This window comes from Homo sapiens, chromosome 1 (genome assembly GCF_000001405.40).
Source record: "Homo sapiens chromosome 1, GRCh38.p14 Primary Assembly".
Classification (NCBI taxonomy): domain Eukaryota; kingdom Metazoa; phylum Chordata; class Mammalia; order Primates; family Hominidae; genus Homo; species Homo sapiens.
In genome coordinates this window covers 6767233-6791695 of record NC_000001.11, presented here as the reverse complement: position 1 = coordinate 6791695, position 24463 = coordinate 6767233, and the positions used below count along the sequence as shown (strand labels likewise).

Sequence of the window (24463 nt, the reverse complement as noted above, 5' to 3'; positions counted from 1 at the left end):
AAAGTAGCAGAGCAAGAATGCTTCTCACTCTCACTCTCAAACACACCAAAAACTAAAGGCAGTACTATATATAACAGGCAAAGGAACATTAGGAGAGGCCCCCATACTTCCTTGTAAATGAAGGCTCCAAATGAAATAATATACTTGGCTGTGCTTAAAGAAATTTATTGTATCAAGCCAAAGAGACAGAAAGAAGCTGGCTAAATGCAGCAAAAAAAAATTTCCAAAATCCTACATGGGGAGGCCCAGAGCAGAAAGGACCCAGTGTTTTATCTAGAGATGCTATCTAGTTACAAATACTATTACCAGCGGCCTTCTGGCTTAAATCTCATTCCATCTACCTATTCTTAGGGAAACAAGAAGCAATGCCTTGTGCTACAGGACAAAGGGATGGTGGGCATCCCCTTCTTACTAAAAGGCTACAAATACAGTACATCTAACAAACACTTTTTTATAATAATGACAGGTCAGTGAAGAAACCTCTCTATGTGGGAAAGGACAAAAAATAAAAGGAAAGGCCGAAGAAAAGAAAGGGAGGTCGGATTTAAGTCACCTAGAACATTTAAAAAAAAAAAAAAAAAAAGGACAGGGTACATGATTCTAGAAGATACACACCACCTTAGGAAAAGATCTGTATAATGGAAATGCAAAAGAAACACACACATCACTTGTCAACACAAAATACACTCAGTCACATACTCATACTGCCAAACCACATATTACAAACCTCACACAGGAGTTTTCACAAGAGTGAAATAGTAGCAGAATTGGTTTCTATATACGTTGTGGAGATGGTAAATCTAATTTAATAGAGGAAAAAAGAAAAGGGGTATTTCAAATTGTTAGTAATTTTTATTATTATCATTATTTATACCTAACCTGTACCCACAAAGAATTTGAGGCAATTTACAAAAATAATAATACCATTAAAAAGCATAAATTAAAAGTCATATAATAAAAGTGATAATTATATCAGATGCCTAGCCTAAGAATGAGCATCAATTAGGTATTAAATTTGGATATAATTCTTCATGGCAGTGAAAATGTAACAGCAGCTCATACAGTTCTCACTATCTACTATGAACCATACCAGTTAATCCGAAGAAAAAAATATTTTTCTACCACTTCCTTATATAAAAAATACATTTGACTCTATGTTCTATAGAATGCCTAGTGCGATGCTGCCGTTCAAATATTAAATAAGCATTCCAACCAATCATGTATCTAAACAACCTAAAAGTTATGCCTACACAATCAGATTAAGAAGGCTGACTTTACTTTTGTCTACACACACACACACACACACACACACACACACACTCTCTCTCTCTCTCTCTCACACTCTGCACACAGTCTGGGGGAAAGCTGCTAAATGCCTCTCCCAGTCCACCCTCCCACCCTCTTCACCACCCCCACTCCTGCTGAGGAGGAAAAAAGGTTCAACAAGATAGCACACTATTACACTATATCTTTGTAAGTTAACAATCCAAAAACTTAAAAATCAGAAAAAAAAAATTCCTTGCAAGACTATATAAAAGACAAGCATTAAGACAAGCACCACACCGAAGGCCAGGCGTGGCAGCTTGCGCCTGTAATCCCAGCACTTTGGGAGGCTGAGGCAAGGGAGGCTGAGGTAGGCGGATCACTTTAGGCCAGGAATTCAAGACCAACCTGACCAACATGGTGAAACCCCGTCTCTATTAAAAATGCAAAAAAAAATTAGCCGGACATGGTGGTGCACGCCTGTAATCCCAGCTACTTGGGAGGCTGAGGCAAGAGAATTGCTTGAACCTGGAAGGCAGAGGTTGCACGAACCGAGATCGTGCCACTGCACTCCAGCCTGGGCAATAGAGTGAGACTCTGTCTCAAAAAAAAAAAAAAAAAAAAAAAAGATACACTAAAATGTCATTAATATAAAAGGCTAACAAGATCCAATATGGTCTCAAGCAAAGTCACATCACCCCCTACAGCTCCTTGTACATAACAGAAGCTCGGTAAAGGTCTCCTGAATGAATGACTCCAGTCATGGGAGTATAAATACAAAAACGACTTCTCCCCAGAAGGGCAAATTCAAAGGTTCCACAAAAGAGTCAACTGACACAACTATGAGGGGAACAGAAGAAAATAAGAGAATCACCTTCTACTGCTTTTTCCATAAGGAAAGGAGAAAGAAGTACAACTGCACACAAAGGGGTATTTCCCCCAAACAGGAAAGGAAGAATGGCTCAAAGTAATGAAACAGTGGGGAAAAAAACGTTAAGATTTTGAGATGGGCTACCTCAAAATCAGTCACAAAGAATTAAAAACCGAGCAGGACACATGGGCGGACATCCAGCATAAACAGGAGACTAAACTAAACACTACTCTCTAAAGAATAGGCTATTTCTGGGGGAAAGCCTAAAATCGCCAGAGCCTAAAAACTAAGGAAACAGAAAACACAGCTGAGCAGGATGCATAAATATGTCTCAAAGAGCAAGTAAGAGCAACACTACTCTTTTGAAAAGGAAAAGCTGACCCAATCTGACCTTGAGTAGAGGTTGCTCTGTGTATGTCAACACTTTGAATCCACTCAATGATGAGATGGAGAAACCCAACATTTGCAGAAGCAGGATAAGTAAGGTTTCCAAGAAGACAAAGGAGGAAGAGGTCACCCAACCTAGTCCCAAAAACTGGAGGTAAGGGGTGAAGGAGAGGAAAGAGTCATGTCCTAACAGAAAGTCGAACAGAAAGATTAAACTATGTGGTTCAGAGAACCCGTCTAGTCTGCCCAACTGCAACAGAGCATTCTGCACTACAAGGTAAAAGGAAAAAGCTAATTTCCAATCATCTGTGGCGACCAGTGACACAGAAACACAACCACATCAAACTCAAGAAAAAGGGCCCAGCTTCAGACAATAACCTCAAGTGTCTTCTTCCAACCAATCTTTACCACTTTTCCTTCCACTGCGCCTTGCACGGAGCCCCCTGCTTACCAGGGAAAACTCCCAAAGTCTCCATGGGGCCATGGAGGAAACGGTAGGAAGAACCACCACTGGAAACGGGATGACTCCGCTGAGTCTACACCATCTACAGCAGGTATTCGACTCTTCGTTTTTCCGAAGTTCCCTAATAACACCCCCTAAAAATACACAATCCCATCAAGCTGACTACAGACACAGAATACGAACAGCATAAAAACATTTAAAACCAAAAACAAGAAAATGAGCTCAAAAGCTCTACTTTCTGACATTGGGAATCAGGCCCACTGGACGACTCAATGCTAACTGAAAGGCAAAGTCCAGAAGTCACAGAACTAGCGCTGACCCAATCTCCGATGAGCCACTTCTCCTTACACAGTAAACTGAGGCAAAGCGAGCCTCTGAGCTAGAACAGTTTTAAAGGCCAAAGCCCCAGAGCCCAACGGAACTTGTTGGGGAGGATGAGTCTCCACACTAAGCCTGTCAAAGAGTAAGACTTCCCTGCTGAGTGACAGCGGCTAGCAGCCATTCTGAATTTCGTGAAAGAGGGAGAAAGGGAGGGAGGGAGGGAGGGAGGGAGACCTGAGGAGGCAAAGCACCTGACTAGAGCCGACAGGGCTCAAATCATTCCCCTGTCCAAGAGAAAAGAACTTGAAGAATAACGTTCCCCATCCTCTCATGAAGCGTCGAGGGCCTTTCCACAGGTACATTTTGCTAATTTCACAACCTCTCTCAATTATTTAAATGGCCAAAATACAAAAGGGACATATTTACGGTCATTCGTTCCTAGTTCTGTCACAGGAAAACATATTCTTCTCACCCATCTCCTGTCGTTTGTCCAAACACACGAAATCTCTTTCCCCTACACTGCAGTAAAGAAATCAAGAACTTTTCACTCTATGCAGAATCAAGCAACGAATACCACCCCTAAATTCAGACCGCCAAAGTTGCGATGCGTATGGGCAGGCACTGTACGCTTCGCACATTCAGGGACTTGGTGAACACGCAGGATGTCGTTCTGCTTATTCAGTACAGTACACATTACAAACCAAAGAATAGTCAGAATTGGCCATTTATCCGTGATTCTTCTGCTGCTGCTTCTAAGCCTGAAGAGTTACCAACAACGTTAATATCTATCTGTATCATTACACATAAAGGTCCCCATATGCACCCAAAATGTAGAGCTAGTCATCTGACCCTTCCAACTTCCTGTGCACTGTATATGTAATGAATGTGATTTCATCTGTGTATACCTACATGTATGTATATGTAAACAAATGAATATAGCATCATGATCTGGTTCTCCAAAGCAGAACCGGAACAGCAAAAAACAGAAAGCATTCAAATTCCCCCTTCTGAAAGCTACAAGATCTAAAGAAATGTCTGGATCCCACAAGAGACAACACCAGAGCCAAAGGAAGGTTCTAGTACAACAAGGAGCACACAAGCAACCTCTTCCAGGATGGCATGTGGGCGACACGGGTGTCTACACTCCCTTTTCTGAATGGAAAGGCATATGGCTTCTCCTTACCCAGCCAACATGAATACAATTTGAGAAAATTAGAAAAAGTCAAAGTAACAGGCTCACTAAATATGGCTGACTGCGAAGCAGAAGCCACAGAGGAGGATATGAGTTCTCTCAAAAAACAATCGGGAAGTTTATATCCAGGAAAGGTTCAAGGACTCTTGAGTGTGGGACGGACAAAGTCTGGTTCTCACTGCACAGAAGACAGTAATCAAAACATCAAAAAACAAGGCCACATGACCCTTTTCCCAGTGAGGTAGTGTCAACTGATGAAGGTTGCCCCCTCCTGAGACACAAGAGTCAAGTGGAGGCAAAAATATACCCCGGTCTTCCTCAGACACAGGAGCAACTAGTGTGGCCCCTTTTCACTCAAGCACTAGGCACAATGGAAGCCCTGCCCTACATCTTATTGGGGCGCCCACTCTCACCCAGACAAGGAACTCCGAGAAGAGAGAACAAGTCAGTGTAGACACACAAATGGCGAAAGGAGCACGGTGAACGTCCAGTTGTCTCCATAAGAAAAGGAGGGCAACTCAAAGGGTATTTAGGAAATGAGCTCGCCCTAACCCAGCAAAGTGTAAGAGTATGCATGATCTGGAAGAAGTGTCTGCTTTCCTATTTAGAAATGACTTCAGAGCTGCACAAGCCCCCACTATCCACTGGGTGAGGAAAGAAGAACATGGGCAGCCTGAGTCCCCTTGTCCTGGCAAAAAGGGTCAACGGAGAGTGTGCAGAGGCCCCAAAAGAATCCAAAGAAGATGAGCAGATCAGACGGACCCCTGTGCCAAGGAAGGATCGGGGTCACGGAAGGTAAAGGGCAAGGGAGTGTGGAGATCCTCACTTGCCATAGAAACGGAGACCCCACCCTCCTGGCTGTGAGGGTGCAAGGGCAAGAGTAGGATGTGAACGACTGCGAGGGGCGGGGATGCTGCGCAGGCCCCCTTCCCTTCCCGGGAAGCGAAGGGGGAGGGGTCACACGAGGCCCTTCGGCCGAGGGACGCTCGGCAGGACGGGGTCCCCCTGGCGGGGAGAAGCTCGGGGACCCCCCGCCCGCTCAGGGAGGTGTCCACGGGGCTGAAGAGGGTGCCGGAGAGAGTACATCTGGCCCTGCCCGCCGGAGAGCAGGGGGCCGGCGAGGGCTGAGCGCCGGCCGCTGCCGCCCGACGGGGACCGGCCCGGAGCAGTGGGGCGCGGGGCCAGGAGGACCCGAGGCGGATAAACTTTCCGCCCCGCGGCCCCCACCGTGGACCCAGCGCCGGGGGTGCGGGGGCCGCGCAGCGGGCTCGGGAGCGGCGGGGATGCCCGGTCCGGGTGGGGGAGGCGCCGGCCCTCCGCCGGCTCCTCCTCCTCGCTGGGCCCGGTCCCCGCCCCGCGAGCCCCCCGCCCCCTCCGGCCCCAGCCCGCCCCCGGGGGTGGGGTGTGGGGCGCCGCGCTCCGCCGGCCCCGCGAGTCACCTCAGGACTCGGCCGCGCTCCGCCCCCCCACCCCGCCGGCCCCCTCCCCGGCCGGGTCGCCCGCCCGCCCGCCCGCCGCGCCCCCGCGCTCCCGCCCGGCGCCGCCGATGCCCGGGATGTCCGGCGGGGCCGGGTCCCGCCGCCCGCCGCGCCGCCCCCCAGCCCCTCGCGCTCCGGCTCTTACCTTCCGGCTTGTTTTCGGCAGCCATTTCCCCTCCGCGCGCCACATCCTCCTCCTCCTCGCGACCGGGACCCCGAGCGCGCGCCTCGTACCGCCGCCGCCGCCGGCCCAGCCACCCCGCCGCCGCCGCGCACCCGCCCTGGCCCCGCCCCGCGGCCCACGCACAGCTCCCGTTGGGCCGTGCGGCTGCCACTCATCGCTCCCGCCGCCAATCGCCCCGCACCAGGGGTCTCACTACTCTCCGGGAGGAGCGTCCTATCCATCCGGCCCATTGGCTGGTCACCACCCAACGGACTGAAAGGATTGGTCAAGAATCAACGCCCCCTCCCCACCCACTCCCAGGAAAGCCCGCCTTCCGGACCTAAACAAAGCTTCCTAGTGGCCAGAACCCGAAAGAACTGTCCAATCAGGACGGGCCCGACACGGAATATTTCCTCGAGGCCGAGACGTGGCGTTTTGATTGGGCGTCACTACAGTGTTTCCCAGGCCGTCCAGACCAATCAAAGGGGGTTCCCGGAACTCGGGAGCGGCGAAGGGAAGCCCCGCCCCCGAGCGTGACCGTCATGAGGAAGGCGCTCCCTCATTGGCACGCTGGGGCTTTTCCCGCGTGCTCCCGGGGCTGAAGGACGTTCCCGGGGAAGCCGCTGCTGGCGCGTGGGGTCCCGGTGGCTGTGGGGGACGCGCCGGGATCTCCGGGATCCCGCAGCCCGCCGCCGCTGCCGGTGGGGAGCCGGACGCGGGGGGCCTCGGGGCTGAGGTCCGCAGGGGTGCCGCGCCCTGGAGTCCGACTGCCTAGGAGTCCGGGCGTCGCTGCCGGCCGTGGGGGAGGGGCGAGCCTCCCGCCAGGCCCCGCCCCCTCGGCGCCGCGTCCCCACGGCCCCGGCGCCGCCCGCCTGCGCCCGCCTCCTGTGCCCGCCCCCGGTGAGCTCCGTTGTCCCCTTTTCTGGCGGCTTAAAATACCGAAACTTTATTTTGGTCACGTTGCCCATGTGACCCGCGGAGCGGATGACTCATGGTTGCCTGTCCCAGGATGAGGCCGCCGGCCGAAAGCAGAGAAGCGCCAGCCCCGGCCGCCCGGGTGGAGCGCTGGGCAGCCGAGTTTCCCACCCTCCTCAATCCGGAGAGTCCGCGCGGGGCTTTTCCTAATAAATAGCCAGGCACCCGCTGCCCTCGCGCTGCGTACGGGAGCACGTGCCCCCCGGGAGGTGGGCGCCCGCCAGGTGCCCCGGGAACGAGCCTAGGAACCGGGTCCGCCGAGTGCGGCTCTCGGGGCGGCTAGGCGTGCGGGTGGCTGGGCAGCGCTCCCAGGGACCGGCCTCTCTCCGGAGAAAGTAAGGAATTCTGCTCCTGGGCAGGTAATACCGGAAACAAAAGGAGAGGCTGCAATCGCAAATTGTTTAAAAAGAAGAAAAAGGAAAGAAAAGTTGAATGTAAGAGCTCCAGCCCCTCAATGTGATCTTGTACGGTTTGCAGTAAGAACATTTCATTCTTCCGCATTTTATTTTTCCTTTTGCTACTGTTGGTGACAACTAGCAAAATAAGTGAAAAATCCTCGTTCAAGTGTTCTGGCATTAAGATTGACTGTCACACTGAATTCTGTGCCAATCCTAACAACATGTGTTCTTTTTCTGGTCTTCACAAGTAAGAATGTCTTAGGTTTTCCAGAAATAAAGATGTCCCAAAAGAATGTTTTGTGTTACACACTCATTCTTCAAGAAACTTTAATTTTATGAGCCTCAAAAATTGCAAAATTTTAACAACGGCGGGACAATATTTTATCGATTAGCATTCTTAATAGCACCTATGTTGACGATTTGTGTGGAGAAACGGATTCTTAAAAGAAGTGCTGGTGGCATTGTAAATTAGTATATTCCTTTCGAAAAGCAATTTTACAGTATGTATTAAAAGCCATAAAAATGTCTGCATCTTTTGACCCAGTGATCTTACTTCTGGGAATCTGTTCTAAGGAAATAACACTAAATGCCAGAAAAGCTGTATGTGTGAAGGTATTCTTCACAGGATCACTGTACTTAACTACAACAAAAAATTGGGAGCATCCTACATGTGCTAATATTGGGTATTTAGTAAATTGTGTTACATCTACACAGTGGAACATTATGGTAGTTGTAGACATCAGAAACAGAAAATCACCCATTGCTAGATAGAGGGGGCAATACCCAAAATTATGGTGTTCATTTATGAGGTGAGATGATAGGCTAAAAAAACTGCATTTTAAAAAAGACCGATACAGGCCGGGTGCAGTGGTTCACGCCTGTCAATCCTAGCACTTTGGGAGGCCAAGGTGGGCAGATCACTTGAAGCCAGGAGTTCGAGACCAGCCTGGCCAGCATGACAAAACCCCGTCTCCACTAAAAATATAAAAATTAGGTGGGCAAGGTGGCAGGCGCCTGAGGTCTCAGCTACTTGGAAGGCTGAGGCAAGAGAATTGCTTGAACCCAGCGGGCAGAGGTTGCAGTGAGCCAATATCGCACCACTGCACTCCAGCTTGGGTGACAAGAGCAAGACTCCACCTCAAAAAAAAAAAAAATAGACTGATAACATACACCAAATAAATGACGTATGGGGGATTATAAGTGAGTTTTTTTTAATTGCCTATTTTCTATAATATAGCTGTTTTTGTTGTTGTTTTTTGGTTTTTTTTTTGTTTTGTTTTTTTGAGATGGAGTTTCACTCTTGTTGTCCAGGCTGGAGTTCAATGGCGCAATCTCGGCTCACCGCAACCTCTGCCTCCCGGGTTCAAGCGATTCTCCTGCCTCAACCTCCAGAGTAGCTGGGATTACAGGCATGCGCCACCATGCTCAGCTAATTTTGTATTTTTAATAGAGACAGGGTTTCTCCATGTTGGTCAGGGTGGTCTCAAACTCCCAACCTCCAGTGATGCGCCTGCCTCAGCCTCCCAAAGTGCTGGGATTACAGGCATGAGCCACCACGCCTGGCCTCTATGTTACTTTTATCATTAAAACACTCATTTAAATTGAAAGAAAGGTGAATAAAGTTGAGTGTCTTCCTTCAAGAGACTCCCAACTTGGCCAGGTTCACAAACATAAGCAGCAGCAGGACAGGTGCGATGGGAACACCGGAGAAGGTCACAAACATCACCTGGGCCTCAACACCATCACCATTGAAATTACCTTAGCCTCAGGCCACAACAGTGGTTCTCAAAACAGTGGTTCTCTAGGGACCTTGGTCGAGCAGAGGGAGCCCCAAGACTCAAGGGACCCAAAAGTCAAAACTTTTTTAGACAGGGTCCTGCTCTGTCGCCCAGGCTGGAGTGCAGTAGTGCCATCAAAGCTCACTGTAGCCTCGAACTCCTGGGCTGCAGTAATCCTCCCACCTCAGCCTCCCCGGTAGCTAGAACCACAAGCATGCACCACCATGCCCAGCTAATTTTTAAGTTTTGTAGAGACAGGGTCTCACCTTGTTGCCCAGGCTGGTCTCAAACTCCTGAGCTCGAGTGATCCTCCCACCTCAGCCTCTTGAAGTGCACGGATTACAGGCATAAGCCACCACACCTGACTTCAGAACTATTTTTATAGCAATGATATGTCAATTTCTCCCAACACTGCACTCTGTGTGCAGTGTTTTCCAGAGGCTGCAAGATACGTGATCTCACAACAGGCTGAATGCAGAAGATTCAGAAGCAGAGAAGAATCCAGCAGTCTTCTACTGTCAGATATTAAAGTGATTTGCAAAACTAAAACAATCTCACACTTACCACTAATTTTATTTTAGAAAATGTAGGTATTTCTCATAAAAATAGGATTTATGTTGACATGTAATGGGTTTATTCTCTTTTTTGTTGTTCTTTTGAGATAGGGTCTCACTCTGTTGCCCAGGCTGGAGTGCCGTGCAATCAAGGCTCACTGCAGCTTTAACCTCCTGGGCTCAAGCAATTAGCCTCTTGAGTAGCTAGGAATACAGGTGGGCGCCACCATGCCCACCTGTATTTTTTGTAGAGATGAGGTTTTGCCACGTTGTCCGTGATGGTCTCCAACGGAGTCTTACTCTGTTGCCCAGGCTGGAGTGCAGTGGCACGATCTCGGCTCACTGAAACCTCTGCCTCCCGGGTTCAAGCGATTCTCCTGCCTCACCTCTTGAGTATCTGGGATTACAGGCACCCGCCACCATACCTGGCTAATTTTTGTATTTTTAGTAGAGACGGGGTTTCACCATGTTGGTCAGGCTGGTCTCAAACTCCTGACCTCGTTATCCGCTGGCGTCAGCCTCCCAAAGTGCTGGGATTACAGGCGTGAGCCACCGCGCCCAGCTTGAATCCTTAAATTTTAAGTGTGGAAAAAGATCTTGAGACTCAAGAGTTTGGGAACCACTGGGCTAGAGAATGAGATCTTTTTGGGGCTGGCTGGTTGGTGTTTCTGTTTGCTTGGGAGGGTAACCAAGAGATGGGCATTTCAAGTAAAGGAAGCAGCTTGCATTACTAAATGAGCCCATTTAGAAAAGAGAGTTGGAAGATAACGCTCGATGTACCAATCTCGGAATCCTTGCCCATTTTGGCCCTAATGTCCTTCAAGGAAAGAATTTTACTGTCCAGAAACAGAACATATAAGGGAAATAGTGGGAATATTAAATTGTTACTTTTTGACCCCAAAGAGGTGCAAAAGAGGCTTCTTCCTGGTCAGCTTTCCAAAGTAAAGTGGCTGTTTATATTACTGGTGGTGATAAAAATAAAAGTGCTTGGACTTGCTTCCTTAAATTGGAAGTTACCGAAGCTTCCATATTACTGGATTGGGAGAGGAAAGCATGGAGTAAACCCATTTCAGAAGCTTAAACACTTAGAAGCTCAGGCCGGGCACAGTGGCTCACACGTGTAATCCCAGCACTTTGGGAAGCCAAGGCGGGTGGATCACGAGGTTAGGAGTTCAAGACCAGCCTGGCCAAGATGGTGAAACCCCATCTCTAACTAAAAATAAAAATTTAGCTGGGCATGGTGGCACGCGCCTGTAATCCCAGTTACCGGGGAGGCTGAGGCAGGAGAATTGCTTAAACCTGGGAGGAGGAAGTTGCAGTGAGCCAAGATTATGCCACTGCACTCCAGCCTGGAAGACAAAGCGAGACTCCGTCTCAAAAAAATAAAAGAGAAGCTCATCATCCCAAGCTTATTTTACCCCTGCACAGGGCAACAAAAAACCTGTGCCTCCTTTAGCCACCAAGGGGCTGCATGGTTAAAAGTAATAATATTCAAAAGTTCCATTTCCAAAAAGTTTCTCCCCTTGTCTTTAACTATTTTTTTAATTTTGAGATAATTAGATTCACATGCAGTGATAAGAAATCATACAGAGAGCTCCTATGTCCCCTTACCTTTTCAAGATGAAACAATGAAAACTTGTGGACTTTGTTGGAACCAACCCTTCACCAGATGGTCCCTGTTTTCCTATCCTGCAAATGGTCACCTTTCCTCTTCTCTGCATCCCAATTACGTCAGGCATTATAATCTCAGAATGTCTACTGTTAATATGCAAGAGTAAAGATTTGTTGGATACCCCAAATATAATGAGATATTTGGGCCTAGTAGGCCTGAATTTCAACTTACTTGAAATATCGGCCAGGTGAGATGGCTCATGCCTGTAATCCCAACGCTTTGGGAGGTCGAGCTGGGCAAATCACTTGAGGCCAGGAGTTTAAGACCAGCCTGGGTAACATGGCAAAACCCTATCTCTACTAAAAATATAACAGTTAGCAAGGCGTGGTGGCGCATGCCTGTAGTCCCAGCTACTCAGGAGGTTCAGGTACAAGAATCGCTTGAACCCAGGAGGCAGAGGTTGCAGTGAGCCAAGATCCAGCCACTGCACTCCAGCCTGGGTGACAGAGCAGACGTCTGTCTCAAAAAATAAAAATAAAAAAATATCATTTGAACACGAAAGGGAAAGGCTTTGTGGCCCAGGAATCTGTTGAAATTTTGAAATGAATCTGTAGTTTCATTTGTTCAGTATTTACTGACAGCAGTAGGTCTGAGAACCAACCACACCACGAATGACAGTTTTGTTTTCCTTTTAGCAATTAAAACCTAGAACAGACCATTATCTTTTTTCATTGGGGTTTCAGGAGATATTATTTAAGCAATAGTTATAATCATAATACTTGCCCTCATCATCCAGCTATTACATAAAACACGCCCAAGTGCACTTGCTCTCCAGAGACCCTCCTTGGAGTGATACCTAAATGCCTTCAGTGGAATGTATCTCACCTTCATACACTACTTTTAAGAATCAGTCCAGTTTTTTCTGGACTTTCCCTTTGAAACTGGAGGCTTTCCACTCCCTCTTGAGCCTTCTGGTATTACAGCCTGATAGTTTTTATTGCATTTGAACCCATGATCAAAGAAATGGTTCTTTTCTTTTTGTTTTGGTTTTTCTTTGGTGGAAGGGGACAGAGTTTCACTCTGTCACCCAGGCTGAAGTGCAGTGGCACGATCTCGGCTCACTGCAACCTCTGCCTCATGGGTTCAAGAGATTCTCCTGCCTCAGCCTACCGAGTAGCTGGGACTACAGGCGTGTGCCACCACGCCCAGCTAATTTTTGTATTTTTAGTAGAGACGGGGTTTCACCATGTTGGGCAGGATGGTCTCGATCTCTTGACCTTGTAATCCTCCCACCTCGGCCTCCCAAAGTGCTCACCCCTCACAGGTGTGAGCCACCACGCCCGGCAGAAATGGATCTTTTCTAAAGGGAGAAAAGGTTGGAGAGATTGGGCTTTGCTGGTTCAGATGGACAAATACAAAGAACTTCCTGACCACGGACATTAATGCATTTCGTAGACCAGGATCACCCCTCTACTTCCTGAGACCCAGAGAGACCTCAGTAGTGGAACCCCCCGAAATCTCTGTATAGAGAAAGCTTGGGGCAGTAATCTGATTGGAGGGAGGGGCCAGGGGACTCTAGCATCTGCACAGCAAACCCACTTGCACTCCATGCAGCTTAGGGAGATTGTAAGACTGCTCAAGTCAAGTTTTGTTTTTTTGTTTTCTTATTTACGCCACACTTTCAAATGTAGTTTCTTTTGACTCTCAGTCTTCCCAGGAAACTTTGTTTAGTTGTTGAAAGTAAAATGACCTATCAAAGTGCCTGACGGGAAACGCTGCTGAGTTGTCCCATCATAGTCTTTGGAAACCACTGAGGAGCACCCAAGGAAAACCAGACCGCTACCATCTACGGGTATAAATGAAAAGGGTGTGGGCGCAGAGGCATTTCACCATCATTAGGCTTTCCATTTTTCAAACTGGACAAGCAATTTATTTTTTCTTTAAGTATTAAGCTGTGGGATATTATGCAGCCATTTAAAAAATGGAGGTATGGCCAGGTGCGGTGGCTCACGCCTGTAATCCCAACACTTTGGGACGTCAAGCCGAGCAGATCACTGGAGGTCAGGAGTTTGAGACCAGCCTGGCCAACATGGCAAAACCCCGTTTGTACTAAAAATGCAAAAATTAGCTGGCATGGTGACATGCACCTGCAATCCCAGCTACTCAGGAGGCTGAGGCACAATTGCTTGAACTGGAAGGCGGAAGTTGCAATGAACCGAGATCACACCACTGCACTCCAGCCTGCACTCCAGCCTGGGCAACAGAGCGAAACTGTCTTAAATTTAAAAAAAAAAGAAGTAAAGGTAACTCAGTGTGTGCTGCTATGAAAAGATCTCCAGCTTAAACGTCTAACTGAAAGAAGGTAAGCCACACAACATAATGTACATTATTTTCCTCTGGATGTGAAAAATGGATACAAGGTTTATTGTATATATATTCTTCTATATGCAGAAAAGATTTCCAGAAGGACAACAGGAAATCTATTACCTCTGAGGATGGAGCAGAAAAAAAAAACCCTTACTCTTCATTTGATATGGTTTAAATGTTTTTACCATATGCATCTATCCAACAAATAATTATTGGGTGCCTATGACATACCAGATACTAATTCTAGGTGCGGGGAATACAGCAGTGAACAAAACAGACAAAAATCTCTGCCTTTGTGGAGCTCATGTGGAGGTGGGAGAGACAAACAAATATACATTTGAACTTTAGATAATGATAAATGCTTGAAGAAAAATAATGTGAAAGGGTGAGATGATGAGAAGGTTTTTTTTGTTTGTTTTTTTTTGTTTTTTTTGTTTTGAGATGGAGTCTCGCTCTGTCACCCAGGCTGGAGTGCAGCGCACGATCTCAGCTCACTGCAACCTCCGCCTCCTGGGTTCAAGCGATTCTCCTGCCTCAGCTTCCTGAGTCACTGGGATTACAGGCGCACGCCACCACACCCGGCTAATTTTTTGTATTTTTAGTAGAGATGGGGTTTCACTATGTTGGCCAGGCTGGTCTCAAACTCCTGACCTCAGGTGATCCGCCCGCCTTGACCTCTCAAAGTGTTGGAATTACAGGCATAAGCCACCGTGCCCAGCCAAGAAGGCTATTTTAGAAGAGTGAGTCAGGAAGTTCTCTCCGAGACCTGAAGGAAGTGAGAGTGAGCCACGCGGTTATGGGTGGGGTGGCAGGTGCACAGTCAGTGTCCTGTAGGAACTGCAGGGAGGTGTGGAAGGACTGCTGACATGTGAATCCAGGGAGGAATCAGCAGGCCACACAGGACCTCCAACTCCATGGCAAAATATTTGGATTTAACTCTGAGGGTGCTAGGAAAACAATGTAAGGTATTTAGCTGGGAATGTTATCTCCCTGGTGTTTTAAAAGGATCGCTATGCCATAATGTGGAGGACAGACTTTAAGGAGGCCAGAGAAGCAGAGAGACTAGTTAGGACATTATTAGACATCAAGACTTGATGGTGGCTTAGATGAGGGGTCTTAGTTCCTTGTGGCTGCTGTAACAAATTACCTTAGTGGTTCCCTTACAGTTCTGGAGGCCAGAAGTTTGAAGTCAGTTTCACTGGGCCAAATGAAGATGTTGGCAGGGCCACACTCCTTCCAAAGGCTCTAGGGAGAATTCATTCCTTGCCTCTTCCAACTGCTAGTGGCTGCCGGCATTCCTTGGCTTGTAGCCACATCACTCCAATTTTCAAGGCTAGCATCTTCAAATCTCTCTCTGCTCCATCTTCACATTGCCCTCTCTCCCCTGTGTATGTGTCAGATCTCCCTCTGCCTCTCTCTAAAGAGGACACGTGATGGCATTTAGGGCCTACCAAGATAATCCAGGATAATCTTCCCATCTCAAGTCTCACTCTGATGTCCAGGCTGGAATGCAGTGGTGTGATCTCAGCTCACTGAAACCTCTGCCTCCTGGGTTCAAGCACTTCTCGTGCCCCAGCCTCCCGAGTAGCTGAGATTATAGGTGTGTGCCATCACGCCCAGCTAATTTTTGTAATTCTAGTAGAGAAGAGGTTTTGCCATGTTGGCCAGGCTGGTCTGGAACTCCTGGCCTCAAGCCATCTACCCAACTTGGCCTCCCAAAGTGCTGGGATTACAGGCGAGGGCTACCACGCCCAGCCCCATCTCAAGATTCTTAATCATGTCCGCAAAGACTTTTTCCTAAAAAGGGAATAGTTACAGGTTCCAGGGATTAGGACTTGGTATCTTATATGCCATTATTCAGCCCACCACATCAAGGGTGGTAAAGGACCAGATGGTAAATATTTTAAGTTTTGCAAACCCTATGGCCTCTGTCACAACTTCTCAACTCTGCCATTGTGGCACAAAAGCAACCATGACAACATGTAAAAAAAAAAAAAAAGGGGGGCAGAGAGGTGACATGCCTATGTTCCAATAAAACTTTATTCACAAAAACAGAGTCCAGGTCTTAGACTAAGATGGTGGTGTGGTGGTGTTAAGAGGTAGGTGGATTTGGCTACATGTTGAAAGTAGAAATGATTGCTCAGGTTTTGCTGAAGGATTGAATGTGAGACACAGAAAGAAATGCACTGGGCCAAGATTTGACTCTTGGGATTTGGGCCTGAACAATTGAGTTAATGGTGTTGCATTTAAAGACTCGGGGAGGAACAGAGTTAGGAGTGGGTGGGAATCCACATTTCCACTTGGGACATTCTAATGCTGAAATGCCTATTAGATATCCAAGTGGAGAAATCAAGAAGGCATTTGAATATATGCATCTGACGTACATATTCCCCTGAGAGACGCTGTGGCTAGACATACAAATTTGGGAGTAATCAGCATTCAGTGGAATCTAAAACCATGAGACTAGGCTGGGCACGGTGACTCATGCCTGTAATCCCAGCAATTTGGGAGGTGGAGGCCAGCGGATCACTTGAGGTCGGGAGTTCGAGACCAGCCTGGCCAACATGGCGAAACCCCTTCTCTACTAAAAATATAAAAATTAGCCAGGCATGGTGGCACGTGCCTGTAATCCCAGCTACTTGGGAGACTGAGGCACGAGAATCACTTGAACCCGGGAGGTGGAGGTTGCAGTGAGCTGAGATCGCGCCACTGCACTCTAGCCTGGGTGACAGATCAAGACTCCATCTCAAAAATAAATAAATAAATAAAACCATGAGACTAGATAAGATTTCCTAGGGGAGGGAGTATAATTCAATTTTACATTATCATAAAGTTTTTTGTTGTTTTTTTTTTTTTTGAGATGGAGTCTCGCTCTGTCACCCAGGCTGCAGTGCAGTGGCCCGATCTCAGCTCACTACAACCTCCGCCTCCCAGGCTCAAGCGATTCTTCGGCCTCAGCCTCCCAAGTAGCTGGGACTGCAGGCGCATGCCACCATGCCTGACTAATTTTTGTATTTTTAGTAGAGACGGGGTTTCACCATGTTGGCCAGGCTGGTCTCGAACTCCTGACCTCGTGAACCGCCTGCCTCAGCCTCCCAAGTGCTGGGATTACAGGCATGAGCCACCATGCCCGGCCTACCTCATCATAATTTTTAAGGAGATAAAAATCATGAGTCTCATACAAACATAAAGTGAGTACATGTAAGGAATTATCTCCAAAAAAAACAAAAAACAAAAACAAAAAAACTATCTTCAGTTATTTAATTAATGAGGAAACCAGTAAGATGTTAAAACTGAGTCAAATGAGAATTTGAAGAACAAAGGTATATTAAAGATAAACAAGAAAGTGTGCTAAAAGATGCAAAATTGATTCATATCCTATAATGCAATACAGTTTCATTCTGGGAGTATCTTTTTCTACAGGACAAAAATAGTTGCATCTATGGGCAAGAGTTGTCTGCACTGATCTCTGTTTTCCATTTCCACCTAGTCTATAGAAAGGCAATTTAAGGTGCTCACCCTTGTAGAATCAGATCCTCCCTGGAGGATCCTCTCGGCACTTCGCTGAAAGGTCACCCAGTAATCTCCCGTTCATTCCTAACCCTTGGACAACTTTTTCTGACATTGTCATTCAACATTATTGAGCACCTACGCAGTGACAGGCACCATCTGTGCTGTTAACGTATGAACAAAACACAGTTTCCTTCCCTCCTGGCGCTTACATTCTAGTGGGGAGAAATAAATATAATAAACAGGTTCTGTAGTATGTAAGAAGGCCATAGGTAGAATGGAAAAAATAAAAGTAGATAATTAGCAGGTTAAAAGGACCAGGAGTGCCAGAGTTGGGGAGGTGCGATTTTATTTTATTTTTTGAGACAGTGTGTTGCTCTGTCACCCAGGCTGGAGTGCAGTGGCACAACCACAGCTCACTGCAACCTCTGCATCCCTGGACTCAGATGATCCTCCCACCTCAGACTCCCAAGTGGCTGGGACTACAGGCGTGCACCACCACACTTGGCATACTTTTGTATTTTTTGTAAAGACAGGATTTTGCCATGTTGCTCAGGCTGATCTCGAACTCCTGGCCTCAAGCCATCCACCCACCTTGGGCTCCCAAAGTGCTGGGATTACAGGCGTGAGCCACCTCACCCAGCCTGGGAGGTGCAATTTTAAATAGGAATAGTCAGTATAAATGTCATCAAGAAATTGACATTTGAGGCCAGGCATGGTGGTTCATGCCTGTAACCCCAATGCTTTGTGAGGCTGATGGGGGAAGACCATTTGAGCCCAGGAGTTCAAGGGTATAGTGAGCTATGATTATGCCACTGCACTCTAGCCTGGCAACAGAGTGGGACCCTGTCTCAAAAAAAAAAAAAAAAACCCAAAAATGACGGGGCAGGGCTAGGCCCAGTAGTTCATGCCGTAATCCCAGCACTTTGGGGCCGAGGCAGAATAATCACTTGAGGCCATGAGTTCTAGATCAGTCTGGGCAACACAGCAAGATGTCACTACAAAAGAATATAAAAGATTAGCAAGGTGTGGTGGTGCGCACCTGTAGTCCCAGCTACTCAGGAAGCAAAGGCAGAAGGATCACTTGAAGCCAGGAGTTCGAGGGTGCAGTAAGCTATGATTGCGCCACTGCACTTCAGCCTGGGTGACAAAGCAAGACCCTGTCTCAAAAAAAAAAAAGAAGAAGAAGAAGAAAGAAATTGACATTTGAGCAGGCTGGAAGAAGGTGAAGGAGTTAGCCACGTGTATGGCACAATCTCAGCTCACTGTAACCTCTGCCTCCCAGGTTCAAGTGATCCTAGTGCGTCAGCCTCCAGAATAGCTGGGATTACAGGCACCCGCCACCACACTGGCTACTTTTTGTATTTTAGTGGAGACGGAGTTTCACCATGTTGGCCAGGCTGGTCTCGAACTCCTGACCTTAGGTGATCCACCCGCCTCAGCCTCCCAAAGTGCTGGGATTATAGGCGTGAGCCACTGCACCCAGCAAGATTTTAGAATTTTTAAAAGAGGGTTAATTTTTTGTAATTGATAAAGGGAAAAAATGTAAACAGAAAAATCTATATCATAGATTGAGTCAAAACCATCTGTTTTCCTGCCTATGACGTGTTCTTTCAAGTTCTAGGCATACTGGGATGCTGTGGGCATGAGATAAATGTTAAACCAGAAGAATGATTTTAACAATACTGATCTTTTTACCCTTTTGGAATGGAAATTGGCTCCTTTTTGATGGGAGGAGACGCCCATCTGCCTCGCTTTTCCACCCACAAAGAATCAGGCTGCCTATGTGACAATACTTAAAAGAAAAATTAAAATTTTAGTAGTAAATAGCAATTCAAAAATAGTTTTCTTGAAAGAGAATTTCCTAGCTGATGAAAGTGCTGCTCTTGAGTAGACCTGGAACTCCTGATTTCTAAAACTCTGCTGTAGTAAATGTATGAAAATGTAGTTTTGTTTCCCTGCTCTCTATCTGGAAGGGCAAAGGGGGTGCTGGGATTATTTCCATGTTAATTCAAGCAGCTGTGTAAAGCACAGCCTTAAGACTTGTGCAAAGATTCTCAAAGCACAATTTTCTTCAGTGACAAAAGATGTCTTTCTTTTTCCTCTTGTCAAACACAATCACTCCCAGATAAAGTCAATTTGCTCTTTTGCCTTCGAGTTGGGCTATTTCCTTTTGCCAGCTGACTAATGTTTTCTAGGGCAGGTTGGAATTAATCATTCAGCACCCTGAGATTTTTCAGGCCAGCCAGGGCTGAGGATTAGAAACAATAAAATTCACAGTTCGCCCTCTAACAAAAGGATCTCACACTTGGCCAGAAGTGGATCGTAGGCCTCCTTGGAAGGAACAGTACGGGAAATTTTACCAAATAGCCCAATCTTCATTCTCCAGATGTGCCAAATCTTGTTTACTTGTCACCTTCACCAGGCGTCTTGTGCTAATTTATTCCAGAAGTGGTGTGTGTTTCTCCCTTCCCCACGAGGTCTCACCATCAAGGCTGAGCACAATTCATTGTCTTATTTCTGAACCCTCTTGGGCCTCCTGGGAGCTTCACTGAAAAACGTCAAGCCCTCCCAAGCATATTTTCATTGCACCGGCTCAAAGCTCAGTGTTGATTCTCCATCCAGCCTCTTCAAGTGACCTGAAACGCCATGTTCTTTCCACCAGGGTGGTGCCTTAATTGGCCACTTTTGCAGAGCTGAGGTCGGTCTGCCTGTGCTCCAAAAAAAAAAAAACAGGTCACCTGCCCCTTTACGTCTGGAGCTTCAAGATCACAAGGCAGAATGTGGTCCCCGGCGCACACCCAGGAGCAGCAGGCTGGGACCAGCCAGTGCTTTTAGACGGGCCAGCCTGGGTGCTAGAACAGATGTCAAGGGATATTTGCTGCAAAGAGGCTCCAGAAATAACGTAAAATTGTTCTGTCCTTTTAAAAATGGAAAATGCCTTGGCAGGGTGATATATTATTTGCCTGGCTGCATTTTCTCTCTGTCTCAGTCAAGGCATGAAAAGTACTGGCACTTCTGCCTTTTCAAGCAGAGCTTGGTGTAACTGGACCACATCTAATGCCTGTACGATGCAAATGAAGATGGAAACTGTTGTTTCCTTTGATGTGTGTGACTAAATGCTCAAAGGGGATATTTTCTTTTCGAGCCTCCAGTGCATAGAGCCTCTTTAAAAATACCTGTTGGCTCCGTCTCCCCCTTGGCAACTGAAGCAATTCCTGCACTGGAGACAGCGGTTGGGTACAGTCATGATGAATGTCTTTCTCTGGGAAGAATACCCTTTCCGTGTTTGCAATGATTGTTAAAGTTCTGGAGGGAATTAAGAAGCGCGAAAGGCACGTTAATGATGGGTATCTGCAATGAGCCACTCAGACTTGCCTGAAAAAGTCCAGAGAGCACATTCTGAGAGCAAACTCAGGGAGGCGGATGAGTCACAGCTGGGATCCACAGCGGCTCCAGTACTCTCTGCAACCCAGTAGCCTAGAGGGCCTGGGAAGCCGCCGCCCAACACCCCCCAGGCATTGACCACTCAGCCTTACCCCTCATCCTCCCTGCCAAGAGGCAAAACAGTGCTAACAGCACTAGGAGAATCCGAGCTCTTCTCTGAATCTGGGTGGTCTCCGGAAGTACACATCCTAGGAAAGGAATAGTTCTGAGCGCTGTCAGAGCCCTGAGCCTCCAAACTGGCTATGCCAGGCACCTGGAACCACTTGCATACCTAGGGAAGCCTGATATGAACCCACCTCTGCCACTTTTTCTTGAATATCTTATCAAGCAAGGCAATCTACAAGAGAAGCTTGTGTTTAAAAGCAAGAACACAAAAGCAAAAAACCATTTGGAACCACCTGTAAGTCATGATTTGGATCATTAATTCATTTTATCTTTTTTTAAATTTATTTTTAGAGACAGGAGCTCACTCTGTCACCCAGGCTGGAGTGCAGTGGCGCAATCGCAGTTCACTGAAGCCTCAATCTCTGGGCACAAGTGATCCTCCAGCCTCAGCCTCCCGAGCAGCTGGGACTACAGGCGTGAGCCACTGCACCCAGCCAGTCCATTAATTTATTATTATTATTATTATTTTTTTGAGACAGAGTCTTGCTCTGTCGCCCAGGGTGGAGTGCAGTGGTGCGATCTCAGCTCACTGCAACCTCCGCCTCCCGGGTTCAAGCAATTCTCTTGCCTCAGCCTCCTGAGTAGCTGTGATTACGGGCACACCACCACTCACCATGCCTGGCTAATTTTTTTTTTTTTTTTTTTTTTTTTTTTTTTTGAGATGGAGTCTCACTCTGTCGCCCAGGCTGGAGTGCAGTGGCGCCATCTTGGCTCACTGCAAGCTCCACCTCCCAGGTTCACGCCATTCTCCTGCCTCAGCCTCCCGAGTAGCTGGGACTACAGGCGCCCGCCACCACGCCCGGCTAATTTTTTAATATTTTTAGTAGAGACAGGGTTTCACCTTGTGTTAGCCAGGATGGTCTTGATCTCCTGACCTCGTGATCCGCCCGCCTCGGCCTCCCAAAGTGCTGGGATTACAGGCATGAGCCACCGCGCCCGGCCATTTTTGTATATTTAGTAGAGATGGGGTTTCGCCATGTTGGCCAGGCTGGTCTCAAACTCCTGACCTCACGTGATCCACCTGCCTCAGCCTCCCAAAGTGCTGGGATTACAGGCATGAGCCATGGTGCCCACCCCCCATTAATTAATTTTTAATGTACCTTTTTTCTTTTTTTTGCCTGATAAATGTTTACCATATCTTACTTGGGGAGGACACTGAGGAGCCAGTCACTTTGGAGGTGGGATATTAGACAGTAGCTCCATGATGTGACTTTGTCACAGTCAATGTTGTGTGCCTAGTGCTTAGATAGGACAGGCACATGACAGTGTGCAATAAATACTGAATGAACGAATGAATGAATGCCCAGTCCAGCCCTGTCCAAAGGAACCAGAGTGCTCTGGGAGTAGGACATTCACACAGAAGATAAAGGGACCAGGAGCAGTGGCTTATACATGTAATTCCAGCACTTTGGGAGGCCGAGGCAGGCGGATGGCTTGAGCCCAGGAGTTCAAGACTGCAGTAAGCTATGATCGCGCCACTGCACTCCAGCCTGGACGACACAGCAAGACTCTGTCTCAAAAAAATTTTTAAAAATTTAAAATTTAAAATAAATAGATAAAGAATTAAAAGTACCCCTTGGATGGATATTGTATGAGTTTGCACTGGCTGCCATGACAAAATATCACAGACTAGGGAGCTTCAACAACATGAATTTATTTTCTCACAGCCCTGGAGGCTGATAGTCTAAGATCAAGGTGCTGGCAAGTTTAGTTCTTATTTGTTGTTGCTGTTTTTTTTTTTAATTTTTAATTTTTTTTGAGATGGAGTTTCGCTCTTGTCACCCAGGCTGGTGTGCGGCGGCATGATATAGGCTCACTGCAGCCTCTGCCTCCCAGGCTCAAGCGATTCGCGTGGCCTCAGCCTCCTGAGTAGCTGGGGTTATAGGCACATGCCATCATGCGCGGCTAATTTTGTATTTTTAGTAGAGACGGGTTTCACCATGTTGGCCAGGCTGGTCTTGAACTCCTGACCTCAAGTGATCTGCCCACCTCGGCCTCCCAAAGTGCTGGGATGACAGGTGTGAGCCACCGCGCCCGGCTGCAAGTTTGGTTTTTAAAACAAAAGAGTACCAATTCCATTTCCTGCCACACCCATGAAGGTTACACACCCATGAAGGTTCTGACCATCAGCGAAATATTTAATGCAAGTATCTCTTCCATGTAAACCCTGCTGCAGTTAGTCCTTCAAGCTCCTGCATTTCTGTCTTCTTTAGTTTGCATGTATGGGCACGGCATTTATGAGTCTGTATCCTGAGAGGCAGTGTGACCAATTATCAGGACAGAGCAGCAGTGCTGTGTGTCCTCCTGGCTGCATCTTCACAAGCTGTGGCACCCGGGGCAGGGCACTCAGCATTGCTGATCACCAGGTTCTTCATCTTTAGAAGGGGCTGATGATTCCTATCCTGCCTTCCTCACCGTATCACTGGAATAATCTCATCAGTTCACGTGTCTGTCCTTCTTAAATCAGGGTGCACGTGCCTGCAGAGGGGTGTAAGCCTCAGGATAAACAAGGTGCACCTGCCTAGAGCATCTGTTTTAAACTATGATTTTTATATTAAAATAAGCACAAATGCATTGGGAAGCGGAATAGAAAGTTGGCATGAAATGCAAATAAAATTGAAGATTTCAAATTAATGTCCTTGCTGCAATCTGTGTGCTTCTCTCATTCCAGGTGCTTTGATAGGAAAGTTGGAGCAGTGCTGGTTATCTATGAAGACACATGAGGCTGCCCTCCATGTGCTCATGGAACAATTGCCAGGATCTAGCACAAAGTGGAAAAAAAAAAAAAAAAAAAAAAATCCAAGCACAAAACCAGGTGTTACCATTTGTTTTAGAAAAAAGCAGGGGAGGGGAGATATTTATAAATGCTTGTGAGTGCAGAGCATACCCTGGGCTGATACATAAGAAACCACAGGCCGAGTGCTATAGCTCACACAAGTAGTTTTAGCACTTTGGGATACCAAGGCAGGAGGATTACCTGAGCCCAGGAGTTTGAGAACAGCCTGGACAACATAGCGAAACCCCGTCTCTACAAAAAAAAAAAAAAAAAAAAGAATTATTAGCCAGGTGTGATGGTTTGCACCTGTAATCCTAACTACTCAGGAGGCTGAGATGGGAGAATCCCTTGAGCCCAGGAGTTTGAGGCTACAGAGAGCTGTGATCATGCCACTGCCCTCTAACATAGGTGACAGAGCAAGAACTTTTCTCAAAAAAAAAAAAAAGAAAAGAAACTGTTAAAGGAATAGTACGAATATATAGTACGAATAATAGGATGAAATGCACGTTAAAGGAGTTGTGTCTGAATTAAAGACCTGGGGGACAAGGAGACAGACACCAGATGGGAAGGAGGCATCTCACCACCAACCCTTCTGTACTATTTATTTTAACATGCATGAACTACGTATTTGTTAAATCTATCATTTTTAAAAGCAGTAGTTCTGCTTTTAGAATTAGTTATCATTGGCCGGGTACGGTGGCTCACATCTGTAATCCCAGCACTTTGGGAGGCCGAGGCAGGCA

At 47.1% G+C, this 24463-nt stretch overlaps 1 protein-coding gene and 1 long non-coding RNA gene across 35 annotated transcripts in view, besides 8 other annotated features; one reads left to right on the top strand and one right to left on the bottom strand.

The window, feature by feature from the left end:
* CAMTA1 (calmodulin binding transcription activator 1) overlaps window positions 1-6242 on the bottom strand; it is a 984253-nt gene extending 978011 nt beyond the window's left edge. For all 34 annotated transcript variants that reach the window (XR_001737064.2, NR_146203.2, NR_146202.2 and 31 more), the window contains exon 1: window positions 6121-6242. Coding sequence is in view for 27 of the 34 variants with exons in the window: in XM_011541084.3 (XP_011539386.1) it covers window positions 6121-6165 (45 nt within the window). In the remaining 7 variants the exon portion in view is untranslated. The remainder of the gene's footprint in view (window positions 1-6120) is intronic.
* Window positions 5490-5669: a silencer, noted in NCBI's record as "silent region_179". NCBI's record gives its function as "represses an Ori minimal core promoter by ATAC-STARR-seq in GM12878 lymphoblastoid cells {active_cell/tissue: GM12878}" and the evidence as "EXISTENCE:reporter gene assay evidence [ECO:0000049][PMID:35858748]".
* Window positions 5680-5949: a silencer, noted in NCBI's record as "silent region_178". NCBI's record gives its function as "represses an Ori minimal core promoter by ATAC-STARR-seq in GM12878 lymphoblastoid cells {active_cell/tissue: GM12878}" and the evidence as "EXISTENCE:reporter gene assay evidence [ECO:0000049][PMID:35858748]".
* Window positions 6160-6319: a silencer, noted in NCBI's record as "silent region_177". NCBI's record gives its function as "represses an Ori minimal core promoter by ATAC-STARR-seq in GM12878 lymphoblastoid cells {active_cell/tissue: GM12878}" and the evidence as "EXISTENCE:reporter gene assay evidence [ECO:0000049][PMID:35858748]".
* Window positions 6525-7199: an enhancer, noted in NCBI's record as "H3K27ac hESC enhancer chr1:6844557-6845231 (GRCh37/hg19 assembly coordinates)". NCBI's record gives its function as "activates a minimal SCP1, AML or CMV promoter by ChIP-STARR-seq in naive H9 embryonic stem cells {active_cell/tissue: H9 hESC(naive)}" and the evidence as "EXISTENCE:reporter gene assay evidence [ECO:0000049][PMID:30033119]".
* Window positions 6660-7069: a silencer, noted in NCBI's record as "silent region_176". NCBI's record gives its function as "represses an Ori minimal core promoter by ATAC-STARR-seq in GM12878 lymphoblastoid cells {active_cell/tissue: GM12878}" and the evidence as "EXISTENCE:reporter gene assay evidence [ECO:0000049][PMID:35858748]".
* On the top strand, window positions 6716-7804 carry CAMTA1-DT (CAMTA1 divergent transcript). Its single transcript, NR_149049.1, has 3 exons — window positions 6716-7038; window positions 7473-7547; window positions 7651-7804. It is a non-coding gene; the product is annotated as a CAMTA1 divergent transcript (long non-coding RNA).
* Window positions 7200-7259: a silencer, noted in NCBI's record as "silent region_175". NCBI's record gives its function as "represses an Ori minimal core promoter by ATAC-STARR-seq in GM12878 lymphoblastoid cells {active_cell/tissue: GM12878}" and the evidence as "EXISTENCE:reporter gene assay evidence [ECO:0000049][PMID:35858748]".
* Window positions 7200-7876: an enhancer, noted in NCBI's record as "H3K27ac hESC enhancer chr1:6843880-6844556 (GRCh37/hg19 assembly coordinates)". NCBI's record gives its function as "activates a minimal SCP1, AML or CMV promoter by ChIP-STARR-seq in naive H9 embryonic stem cells {active_cell/tissue: H9 hESC(naive)}" and the evidence as "EXISTENCE:reporter gene assay evidence [ECO:0000049][PMID:30033119]".
* Window positions 7340-7399: a silencer, noted in NCBI's record as "silent region_174". NCBI's record gives its function as "represses an Ori minimal core promoter by ATAC-STARR-seq in GM12878 lymphoblastoid cells {active_cell/tissue: GM12878}" and the evidence as "EXISTENCE:reporter gene assay evidence [ECO:0000049][PMID:35858748]".